The 13,157-nt window shown below is 37.1% G+C and overlaps 1 protein-coding gene across 9 annotated transcripts in view, besides 1 other annotated feature; it reads right to left on the reverse strand.

Annotated features, from left to right (window-relative positions):
• CERT1 (ceramide transporter 1) overlaps positions 1 to 13,157 on the reverse strand; it is a 143,496-nt gene that overhangs the window by 31,399 nt on the left and 98,940 nt on the right. For all 9 annotated transcript variants that reach the window (XR_007058566.1, NM_001379003.1, NM_031361.3 and 6 more), the window contains 3 exons: positions 11,127 to 11,219; positions 3,088 to 3,174; positions 321 to 413 (listed from right to left, as the gene is read on the reverse strand). Coding sequence is in view for 8 of the 9 variants with exons in the window: in NM_001379003.1 (NP_001365932.1) it covers positions 321 to 413; positions 3,088 to 3,174; positions 11,127 to 11,219 (273 nt within the window). In the remaining variant the exon portion in view is untranslated. The remainder of the gene's footprint in view (positions 1 to 320; positions 414 to 3,087; positions 3,175 to 11,126; positions 11,220 to 13,157) is intronic.
• Positions 5,527 to 5,727: a silencer, noted in NCBI's record as "peak5292 fragment used in MPRA reporter construct". NCBI's record gives its function as "represses an SCP1 promoter by STARR-seq MPRAs in K562 erythroleukemia cells {active_cell/tissue: K562}" and the evidence as "EXISTENCE:reporter gene assay evidence [ECO:0000049][PMID:32103011]".

The raw sequence follows: 13,157 nt of genomic DNA on the forward strand, positions 1-13,157 counted from the left end.
TCCCAGCACTCTGGGAGGCTGAGGTGGGTGGATCACAAGGTCAGGAGATCAAGACCATCCTGGCCATGGTGAAACTGTCTCCATTAAAAATACAAAAATTAGCTGGGTGTGGTGGTACATGCCTGTAATCCCAGCTACCAGGGAGGCTGAGGCACGAGAATCTCTTGAACCCGGGAGGTGGAGACTGTAGTGAGCCGAGATCGCGCCACTGCACTCCACTCTGGTGACAGAGTGAGACTCCGTCTCAAATAAAAGATATTTCCACCAACAATGAAGAACAATACAAGGTGTACTTTTAGTAAACTCTGACATTAGCTTACCTTTTGGACAAATCTATGTGTCCCCACAGAAGAAAAGGCATCTCCAGAGGGCAAGGATGTAGGCCAATGTAATCTCACCTTTTCACTCTGTGACTAAAAAAACATATAATATTAAGATGGGAAGGTTTTAAAGTGTATTTTGTAACTCAAGAATGGATAATATAACCTGGAACTACCAACATTCACTTAGTGAACGCCTTAGTGCTTATAACCATTAGAATTATGAAACTACTCCGCAGACATGGCAAATCCTGATACTTGCCTCAGATATCCCAATTTAACCTCTTCTTTCTGACTCCACAGATACTATGTTAGGCAAGGGATAAGTTCGTTGATTTTGCTCCTAGTCAGACTCCCTGCTACCTGCATAGCATTATTTATCATGGGTCAATCTTAACGCTGCTGCCAATTCTCTCCTATCCAAACCCTGGCCAAATCATTCCAATGATTCTACCTTAGCAGGCCGCCCCTGGAAGGCTGACTCACAGGTTTATATATAATTAGAAATAATATCATTGTTTGCTTCAGTTATGTTCCTAAGAACATATCATGTATATCTCTTTGCCTCCTCTCCATGAAGGTATTCTGCCCTTCATCTCATCATCTTACTCCTGTTAAGCTGCCACTTGCCCTTCTTCCTCTTTAGTTTGCCTCAGTTGTTCTCATTTATTTCAACCAACTGCTAAGATCTCATTTCTCATGCACCAGTTTATCCCATGTATCTTTCTTTCCCTATGTTTGCAAGTAACGTAAACTCAAACATGTGTGATGTAAGTGTCACTTGGAGAATATCTATTTAATGGCTGTGTTGTTGAGAGATCTGTGCAATATACACTGAATATGAAGAGGGAAATGATCTAAATCTATGGAACTGATTTTATGGATTACTGAAGCTCTCACTACTCTATAGAGTATTACCACACTGTATCTCTGTCATATCAACATGCCTGGCTCTTAGGCAAGAAAAACAATGCTCTGTTCAATGACTATTTTGCAGAGCATCTAGTACAGTGTCAAGAATAGAATGAAGTTGATTGGATGGCCCCATGAATATTTCTTTTTCTAAAGCTTACGGAAGGGTTCATCAATTCTCTCAAACCCAACTCAATCACCATACTGATATTCAGTAGAGTAGCATTTTAGAGAGAAGAGATGTTTTGAATCATCTTGTCTCCTTTGTTTCACAGATTAGAAAACCAAGGCCCAGAGAATTCAGTGATAAGTTCATAGCTACAAAGTTAGTTAGAGGTAAAACTAAGAGTAAGACTGAGGTGTCTTGACTCATTCACTACTTTTTCCCAAAACAGCACATCCTAGACAAAAAACTAAGGGAAACAAATAAATAATGCTACTTCAGGTAGTACTTTAGGTTTCCAAAAGTAGAGCCCATTTAGGAACTAAAAGTTCCCACTCTTCTTGAGTGGTACATAGCATCTTTTGGGTATAAAAAAAATGAGCAATAAGCTTTACAAATTAATGTGACATGAACTTTTTATCAGTAATTTTTAAAAAAATAACGAAAGATACACATGAGAAGCAGTTACTACTGCAGGTGATTTACCCTTAGGTAGACCAATAAGAGCATAATAGCCATGACTGTCTTAGCAATGATAAGAAACGAACAAGCCAACTTTTCTATGCAAATTCATTTGTAGTATAAAACTGACACATACATGATTATTTGGCAAGATACTCTGTAGCCACAGTTTATTAATACTTGCCCCCCAAAAAGGTTAAGCTTCCACCATAACTAGCATAGCTTAAACAAGGGGAGGAAATAACAAAATTCATCCTTAAGTACCATCTAGTTGTAACGTATGGTAACTGTACTGTTGCCAAATTAAAGAAGACAAAGTATCAAATTAATCTTGAAGCTAGTTAATGGGTTTAAGAAATACTTTTCTTCAATTTCCACAGCAGCTGGGTGTAACTGCTATACACTCAATAATGATGACAAAACACTGAACAAAGCAAAAGTGAGAAAGAAACTGAAGGTGAAGTAGTGAAGGTAATAAAGGGGTTAATAAAAACAATACTAATATAGATGAAAAACCTTAAGTTTTTGGTCATCTTCCTTTTCATATCATACTTGGTGAAGAAAAATTCAAAGAAGCTTTTTACTTAGACTAAATATATGCTTTATATTAAAAGAATGTTTTAAGCTGGACACTTAAAGGGAAATAAGCAAAAAGAGCATTTCTATTTAAGTTCATGTTAATTACGCATGGTTCCTTTTAACAATTATTGGTTTTCTTTCTATTGCTTGGAAATTCACATATAAAGGAACTGACTTATAAAGATTATTTTACGGCCAGTACCATGGCTCATGCCTGTAATCAATCCCAGCACTTTGGGAGGCTGAGGCGGGTGGATCATGAGCTCTGGAGTTCGAGACCAGCCTGGCCAATATGGTAAAACCCCGTCTCTACTAAAAACACAAAAAAATTTAGTCAGGCACGGTGGCGCGCACCTGTAGTCCCAGCTACTCGGGAGGCTGAGGCAGAAGAATCGCTTGAACCCAGGAGGTGGAAGTTGCAGTAAGCCGAGATCGCGCCACTGCATTCTAGCCTGGGCAACAGAGCGAGACTCTGTCTCAAAAAAAAAAAAAAAGATTATTTTACATTTGTGACTCAATGTATTCACAGTTAAGCTTCTAGGTTATTAAGTTCACAATGTTCAAATTCTATTTACATGAAATAATATACACCAAGGAATGCCTATAGTGTTAAAATAAATTTCAGCTTAGAATTTTCAATAATAGATATACCTGTTCTTCTATTTTATCTTGTCTGTCAAGAGCAGCTTCAACAGCATCAAAGAACTCTTCTTCATTAATCAGACTGTTAGGGCCTTCCTATTCCAACACACAGTGGAGAAAAAAGCAGTTTATTTAAAGAAACAGAAAACTCTGATAACTCTGGTATTAACTTGAGTTTGAAAATTGACCTAATAAACATTTATTGAACACATATTTACAAAGCAGTCAGTATACTAGATCATATGCATGCTCTGTGTAAAATCACGAGTGTTACAATTAATTCACTCAGTACTCATATATTTACTTACTGTATATTGACCAATATTGTGTTGGGATAATAGTCTAGAGCAGAGATTGGCAAAAACTATGGCCCAAGGGCCAAATCCAGTCTGCTGCCTACTTTTGTACAGCCTGTGAGCTAAGAATTTCATTTTTAAATGGCTGGAAAAAATAAAAGTAATAATATGACATGTGTGAATTACTTGAAATTAAAAGTTTGGTGTCCATAAAGTTTTACTGGAAAACAGTGATGCTCATTCAGCTATATATTATCTAGGGCTTCTTTAGTAGCAGAGTTGAGACTTATGACAGAGACAACAGAGATATAAAATTGCAATGAGGTAAGTAAAAATTTGCACAAGAACTATAGCTAATAAGTACGGCTAGGCATTCAGAGGCGGATCTTCCTAAGCACAGGTAATTGTTTCATGGGGAAATAAAAGTTGAGTTGATGCTTGATAGTCTGGCTAGATGGCAGAATAATGGCCATCAATCACTTGGGGAATTGTGTGGGAGACTTCTTACAATGAAAATTCCCAGGCCTCCATGGCCAAAAATTATTTCTTAGTAGGTCTTCAGTGGAACCTTGGAATATACATGTTTAATAATTCCCTCAAGTGATTCCCATGCAAGTGGAACCTCAGCTGCATCAGAAGATAAACATACAAAGAACAATAACAAAATGTAAACAATCAACATATGTTCCTGCTGTGATGAACCAAGTAAGTGGAACAACAGCTTTGTATTATGATAAAAGTAGAGACTAAAAGGTAGGCTTGGGTTTAGCATTTCTTAAATGTTAAAATATATAAAATAAGACACATGAACAATTGGTGAAATCTTCCCAGTTAAACTCATAACCCCAAGTCATCATTAGTCCATTAAAAAGTATCTAGCAACATCGTCCTATCCCCACCATAACCTGGAACTACACTGGAAGGGTGGGAGGTATGGGGTCACGTTCTTGTCATTTGGCATATAAGAAATGTTGACTTAATGGAGTTCTTCTTTTAGGGTTATGAGGACTCAGTCCCCTACAACCTACTTCATAAAAAAAAAAAAAAAAAAAAAAACAACTTTCTATTCAGATACAACAAACATACAGAACAGTGCATATCTTAGTGAAGCATCACAAAGTGAATATACCATCTAATGACCATCTGGGACAAGAGGGTCATGAAAAAATAGTAACAACACCCTAGAGGCCTTCCTCCTGCAGGATTCTCTTTACAAAATCAAAACATTTCAAAGACAGTAAAATGACAGCAGGACAACTTTGCTCTCTGTTGATCAGAGAAAACACAAAATATCCAAACTCAAGCATATTTTCTAATGATTTTAAATACTATTTAACCACATCTACATTTAAAAAATATTAATATTCATTCAATCTACAGTGATTTAGTACATGTGGATTTCTAGTCCTTAAGCAATCATGTCAGAGCCTCAGGAGTCTAATTGAAAACTACAGCATTTAAAAATTCTGGCCAAGTATGGTGGCTCATGCCTATAAACCCAGCACTCTGGGAGACCAAGGAGGGGAGATCACATGAGGCCAGGAGCTCTGGACTAGCCAGGCCAACATGACGAAAACCTGTCTCTATCAAAAATACAAAAATCAGTGGGTGTGGTGGAGCACGTCTATAAACCTAGTACTCAGGAGGAGGAGGCACAATAATTGCTTGAACCTGGGAGGCGGAAGTTGCAGAGGTTGCAGTGAGCCAAGATCGCACCACTGCACTCCAGCCTGGGTGGTAGAGCAAGACTCAGTCTCAAACAACAACAACAACAACAACAACAAAAATTCTATTTTGCCAAATGAAATGGTTTTTCCTTTAATGGTAAACCTTTGGGAGAGGAACTAAAGGAATTGGCATAAAATTTTCTTTATTAAAAGGGACTTTAAAAAAAACCCTTTTATCTCATCATGCTTACTAAGGGCAGGAGCTACTTATCTGCCCCCTTAGAATAGCATTTCTTATGTTAACAACTCTCCTTGAAGAGTTCTCTACCCTTAGATTCCTAAATTCCCCTCTCCCTCTCTAAGCACTCTTATGGGGCTCCTTTGTAGGTTTCCCCTTCTCTGCCTATCCTTTAAATGTTGGTGTTCCTCAGGGTTCCATACTTGCTCTACCCACAGCATTCTTACTTATATCCAACGCTTCAGTCATCCTTTGATGACTCCTAAATTCACAGCCAGACCATCTCTCTTCTAAGGGTCAGATCTTTGTATCTAATATAGAAGACTTCCTCATATGACTCACCTCAATTGCAACGTGTCTGAAACCTCCTCTTCTATCTCCACACGTATCTGCAGAAACCTGGGCCTAATCTTGGATTCCTTCCTTTTCCCTCATTCAATCATCACACCCTTCAATTCTACTTTCCAAATACAATAGTCTCCCCCATCTGTGGTTTTGATTTATGTGGTTTATATACAATAAGATATTTTGAGAGAGAAAGAGACTACATTCATATAACTTTTTACTATAATACAGTACTATAATTGTTCTATTTTATTATTGTTAAAATAAAAATTAAACTTTATCACAGGTACATACATATAGGAAAAAACATAGCACATATAGGAAAAAACAGTGTATATAGGGTTCAGTACTATCTGCAGTTACTGGGGGGGGGGGGGGTCTTGTAATGTATCCCCCCCAACCACTGATACAATGGGATTACTGTATCTAATTTGTCAGTGCCTCTCTATTCCTCCTGCTTTGACTCTAATTTAGGCCACCTTCAACTCTCATCTATATTATACAAAAAGTGTCCAAGTGCCCAGTCACAATTGTTACTTTCAATCCATTCTTCCTACTGCAGGGAGAATGACTTTTCTGAACTGCAAATGTGAAAATGTCATTTTCTTGATTAAAACCTATTGTCTCAGGATCTGAACTAATTCTTGTTGATCTTTCCAGTCAGTCTCTTAACCATTCTTTCCTCTCAATTTGTGGAGGCTCTACCTTCCAAAGAGAATTACTTTCAGTTCCCCTGAGGAAAAATATTATTTTGCTTCTGACTACTGGAAAACACTCTTTACTCAATTTACTCATTCTTAAGGTTTCTGCTAAGAGGTTCTTTCCTCCTAAGAGGTTCTTTCCCTCCGGGAAGACATCTCTGATTCAACACCTTCCCTGCATTAAAAGTGTTTCATGACATACATTATGATAACTGTCTATTAGCCTTTGTTCCCATTATGCATTCAGGTAGGGCCCTTAGGCAGGATCCTTATAAGCCTTGTTTCTTGTTGTATTCTCCAAGCCTAGTGTAGTGCCCTACATTATGGTAAGTCTTTTTTTTTTTTTTTTGAGATGGAGTCTCAGTTGGTTGCCCAGGCTGGAGTGCAGTAGCGAGGTCTTGGCTCACTGCAGCTTCCGCCTGCCGGTTCAAGCAATTCTCCTGCCTCAGACTCCCGAGTAGATGGGACTACAGGTGCACACCACCATGCCTAATACAGCTAATTTTTGTATTTTTAGTAGAGAGGGCGTTTCACCATGTTGGCCAGGCTGCTCTTGAACTCCTGACCTCAGGTGATCTGCCCGCCTCGGCCTCCCAAAGTGTTGGTATTACAGATGTGAGCCACCACACCCAGCCACATTATGGTAAGTCTTAAGGAATAAATTTAAGATTATAAAGTAATTTCTGAGGCTACAGAAGTCAGAAACACTTAGAACTTTTTTATAATTAGAACATCATGAATGTCTGATTATAACCAAAAAGAGTCATAGTTTGAATTAAGTGTCTAAAACCCATACGACTATAATATTGTTACAAGAAAAGATAGATGGTTCAAAACTCCAAAAGAAGGGGAAGTGTAAAAACAGTTCCCAGTTTATCTAAAGAATTGTATATTTAATTTAACTTAGTGAGAAAAAAAATAATTAGAGTACCCTTAACCAGTTTCTTCACTAAGAAAGAGTAAAGTGCATTTCAAATAGGTGAATAAAGGATGTTTATTCAACAAATGCTAGTGGAATAAAATAGGTTTCTATATTGTATCATTATTTTAAAAACTCCAGATGTATTAATATATTTAGAAGAGACCATTGGAAAATAAAAAATTAGAAAATATGATTATTTAAAATAGAAAATGCCCTTCTAAGCATGATACCAAATGTGGAGAAAAGTGGATCAAAGGACTGAGGAGTTAATTACACGAAGGTTTAAAACTTTTATATGTCAAAATCTACCAAACTTTTTTAAGGTACGAAGGAAAAAAATTAAAAAAAAAAAAAGGCAAATTCTATACATCTTCTAAATCAATAGGGAAAAAAAACCCAAACAAACAAACAAACAAAAAAAACGAATAAGAAAACAACCAAAGGACATGGCCAAGTTAATCGTAAAAAAGAAACGTGGCAGCCATAAAAAAGAATGAAATCATATTCTTTGCAGCAACATGGATGGAGCTGGAGGCCATTATCCAAAGTGAACTTGTCACAGGCCAGGTCTCACTAAACAACCATTTCAGTACTGACTGAATGTTTAAGTTAAATATTAAAAGCCAGTGCCCTTATACAAAGGCTGGGATGTAACAAAAGCCCATCAAGAGTTTTGCCTAGGCCTTTCCTGGGCCTTAAAGCGTGATAAAATAATGAAGGAATTCTTTTTTTTTTTTTTTTGGCACAATTGTTTTTTTTTTATTATGGTAAAAAAAAAAAACATAAAATTGACCATCTTAACAATTTTTAAGTGTATAGTACAATAGTGTTAATTACTGTATATGCACATTGCAATGTAAAAGATCTCTAGAACTTTTTCATCTTACAAAACTGAAACTCTGTTCCCATTGAACAACTCCTTGTTTCTTCAATAATGAAGGAATTCTTAATAGGAGCCATTTAGGATTAAACAAGTTTTACTGGGGGTCTGAAGAAACTCCCCAGTCCTCCACAAACAAGTGTATTAGGGGTCTGAAGGAACTCCTCAAACCTATGTGATATAGTAGGAGACACGATAAGGGTAATCACTCTAGCACTTTACTGAGGCTCCAAAGGAAGGTCTTCAGGACTCAGACCTTAGTTATAGATTAAAAGAAGTTAGTAACTTATGTCTTTAGGTGAATGCACACTTACAGGTAGACATATAGCTTAGAAGGTATATAAGCTCTGGAAAACTTTGTAATTTGGAGTTGGTCTGGTGATGATGTTCAGACCTTCTCCCTGTAACCAGTTACAGAAATAACTCTCTTCCTCCCCAGTTCATCTGCATCTCGTTATTGGGCCGTGAGAAATAGCAGCCCGAACCTCAGTTTGGTCCCAGAACAAATTAACTCACAAACAGAAAGTCAAATACTGCATGTTCTCATTTATGAGTGGGAGCTAAATAATAGGTACACACAGACATAAAGATGGAAATGTAGGGACTCTAAAAGGAGGAAGGTTGGGAGGGAGGGGTGAGAGTTAAAAAATTAGCTATTTGGTATAATGTTCACTATTTGGGTAAGGGGCACACTAGAAGCCCAATCTCTGCCAGTACACAATATACTCATGTAACAAACATGCATGTGTACTTCCAATGTAAAATAAAATAAAAAAAAAAGAAACATGAATATCTGATAAACATAATTTTTAAAATGCTCAATTACATACATAAAGCAATTTTTTGGCTTTGAAACTAGTAAATGCATGTACCTAGCACAAGGCCCCTCTTCCCTCCACCCCTGTCCTCTACCCCTAGGAAAAAAAAAACAAAACCTGTGTTGATGGAAGCAGAGATAAATATGTACACAAATTATACTTACATACTGCTGGTAGATGATAAACTGTACCATATATTGTTAAATTTAAAACATGGGCTTTATTGGCTTATTTGAATTTTTGTACAATCTTCCTATAATGAATATACATTTTATTTATAATATTAAAAAATAAGGTACTTTAAAAAGTTGGTATTTCTTCCAAAATAATAATTCTAAAATAGCAAAATAATTTGTTTAGTTTCAAAACAAAAATCATCATTATAATACCTCATATTAAAACCTCAGAGGATAGCTAATTATGTAATTTTAATACATTTTAGAAGGGATAAATTGAGAATAATTTAAAAATATTACAATTTAAGTCTCATCAGAATGCACTCTCACAGTTGGAAATTGATTCCAATGCAAAAAAATTCAGCAACAGCAGAGCAGCTGTTTAGTTTTCCTTTCTAGAGCAAAAGTAGCAAGAAAAAATTCTTCTGTTTTCATAAATATAACTACAACTATTTTATTCTTCTGTTCCACCTCAGTGGTACTCCTTGATACCCCATTTTTAAACTGCTCATTTCAGAAATATCAACACTTTTTTTTTTGAGACGGAGTCTCGCTCTGTTGCCCAGGCTGGAGCGCAGTGGCACGATCTCAGCTCACTGCAACCTCTGCCTCCCGGGTTCAAGTGATTCTCCTGCCTCAGCCTCCCGAGTAGCTGGGACAACAGGCACTCACAACCACGCCCGGCTAATTTTTGCATTTTTTTAGTAGAGACGGGGTTTCACCATATTGGCCAGGCTGGTCTCGAGCTCTTGACCTTGTGATCCCCCCGCCTCAGCCTCCCAAAGTGCTGAGATTACAGGTGTGAACCACCGTGCTGGCCAACACGTTTTTTTTTTTTTTTTAAAGAGACAAAGTCTCGCTCTGTCACCCAGCCTGGAGTGGAGTGGTGCAATCGTAGCTCACTGCAGTCTTGGGCTCCTCAGTAGCTGGGACTACAGGCATGTGCCACTATACCCAGATAATTTTTGTTATTTTATTTTATAGAGATGAAGTCTTGCTATGCTGTCCAGGTTGGTCTTGAACTCCTGGCCTCAAGCAATCCTCCTGCCTTGGCCTCTCAAAGTGCTGGGATTACAGATGTGAGCCAGTGCGCTAGCCTCAACATTGTTTAATGGCAATTACCAAATATATTTCTTACACATTTTTTTCTCTTAATATAGAAAGCTTATAAGATTTTAATGTATGTGTGTATATACATGTGAAGGAGATTTTATTACCTGCTTAACAAATAAACACAAGGAGAAAAAAGCTGGTTTCAGACATTTTCAAACAAAGACAATTAGAACAGTTTTATGTTCAGCTATGGATAAGATCTCACAGTAGGCCGGGCGGGGTGGCTCACGCCTGTAATGCCAGCACTTTGGGAGGCTGAGGCGGGCGGATCACGAGGTCAGGAGATCGAGACCATCCTGGCTAACATGGTGAAACCCCGTCTCTACTAAAAATACAAAAAAATTAGCCAGGCGTGGTGGCGGGTGCCTGTAGTCCCAGCTACTAGGGCAGCTGAGGCAGGAGAATGGCGTGAACCCGGGAGGCGGAGCTTGCAGTGAGCCGAGATCGCGCCACTGCACTCCAGCCTGGGTGACACAGCGAGACTCGGTCTCAAAAAAAAAAAAAAGATCTCACAGTATAGTACAGACTAAAATCTTTTTGTCTGCAAAGTACTCAGATTTTTCCTTTATAGTTTGCTTTTATGTTAAAAAAAAAAAAAAAGTAGATAACATTAAAAATGATCATCTTTACAGGGGAGATAAAAATTTGTCCTATCAAGTGAACAGGCCTAATACTAAGCCTTTTGAAGCCTAAACTTTGTAGGCAATAAGAAATATATATTTGAGCATGCCTGGCATTTATATATCATGAAATATACACTGAATTAACATAAACACTGAGGAAAAAATTATATATTTAGAATATTTAAAGGTTACAAGAGTATTATTAAAAAATCACTTTTGTGATAGACATGATCTATGTGTTTCTCTAAGATCAAAATATAAATTCATACTTCATAATCTGGTCCTCCAAAGTGGGATTTTTTCTTAAGTTCTGTCATTGCATTTTTATATGCTTCCTCTGTTCTTCTTTTCTTCTCAGTTTCCTATTAAAAAGAAGTGAAAAATCTGTAATTTGAGGCAGGCATTTTAATTACAATGAAGTCTTTTAGGTGGAATTCCTCTACATTTCACTGAAATTTTACAATTTGACACAAAAAAATTCCACTCCTGTGAAAAATAAGAGTATTATTCTGCCCAAGAAAACACTTTTCTCTAGGCTATAAATTACTTACAACCTACTATTTATGTATGTATGTATGTATGTATTTTTTGAGACGGAGTCTTGCTCTGTCACCCAGGCTGGAGTGCAATGGCATGGTCTCGGCTCACTGCAACCTCCGCCTCCTGGGTTCAAGCAATTCTCCTGCCTCAGCCTCCCAAGTAGCTGGGATTACAGGCTTGTGCCATCACACCCAGCTAATTTTGGTATTTTTAGTAGAGATGGGGTTTCACTATGTTTGTCAGGCTTTTCTCGAACTCCTCACCTCGTGATCCACCCTCCTCAGCCTCCCAAAGTGCTGGGATTACAGGTGTGAGCCACTGCACCCGGCCACAACCTACGATTTAAATCACCACTAAAATCACCTTAAAAGTAGGTTATGTGTTTAAATGGTTAAGTAACTGCATGTATACTTAAAAAGAAAAGAAAAGAAAAAAACCCAGGTAAATTAGCACCTGAAAAATACCTACTATACATTCTTATACTTCCCCTTCCCACCAACCCCAGTTAAGAGATACATTTATTTTGGTATGAAGAAAAACAGCAAGTAATACCAGAAAAGAACTCAGTAGGTGGGATCAATGAATGCTAAAAAGATATTCTAAGAAAGAAAACCTTCTTATACTTTCTCACTGCTGCTTAAGACTGTATTTTAGCGTTGAAAAAGACTTTAGTTATGTATTTTAACACTCTCCTTTTAATGATAGGGCCTATAGCTCTAAAAGGTTAAAAGACCCAGGGTCAACACTTAAAATAACAAAGGTTGGTCCCATATAAAACTTATTTCCACAACAATGGGGTTCACTGGGTCAAAACTGATACTGGAGTCCAGTATGTTTGTAAATAATCTAATGCTTTTATTTCCTCATTTCAAATAGTCATACATGGCTTTTTTCTTTTCTTTCTTTTTTTTACCTTGTCCAAATTCCATTTTCTAAAAGACTGATTTGCTTGGTCCCCCTATTGGGTAATGTAAGCACCACACTTTTGAAAGCGAAAGGGAATGTTAGTAATAATCTTGCTGAATTAAGAACTGCCTTGGTCAAACCAGGATTCATGGTCACTCTGGCTACAGGAAATGTAAACAGCTCTTCCTATTTCCCCTTATTCCCAAAAAAACACTACTCTGAAGAGCGTGATCATCAAAAATCATAAGAGAACAGATTATGCTTGTGATCTAAAGAAGGCTAGTGAAAGCCACATGTATTTACTGTCACATGTTAGTTCACCATGGGGATACAGTCTGAGAAATGTGTCACTGACGACTTAATTCTTGTATAAACATCATAGAGTGTACTTATATAAACCTAGATGGTATAGCCTACTACACATCTAGGCTATAAACATTTACAACATATGACTGCACTGAATACTGAAGGCAATTTTAACATGATGGTTAAGTATTTGTGAATCTAAACATAGAAAAGGGACAGGAAAAATATGATATAAAAGATAAAAAACAGTATACTTGCACAGGGCACTTATGAATGGAGCTTGCAGGATTTGAAGTTCCTCAGGGTGAGTGAGTGAGTGAGTAGTCAATGAATGTGAAGGCGTAGGACATTACTGCACACCACTGTAAACTTTTAACACTGCATACTTAGGCTACACTACATTTATTTAAAAATGTTCTTCCTTCAATAACAACCTTAGCTTACTGTAACTTTTACTTTATAAACTTTTTAATTTTTTAAACTTTTTGAGTCTTTTGTAATAAGATATCTTAAAACATAAACATTGTACAGCAGCACAAAAATATTTT

Source organism: Homo sapiens, chromosome 5, assembly GCF_000001405.40.
Source record: "Homo sapiens chromosome 5, GRCh38.p14 Primary Assembly".
In the NCBI taxonomy this organism is placed as follows: Eukaryota; Metazoa; Chordata; class Mammalia; order Primates; family Hominidae; genus Homo; species Homo sapiens.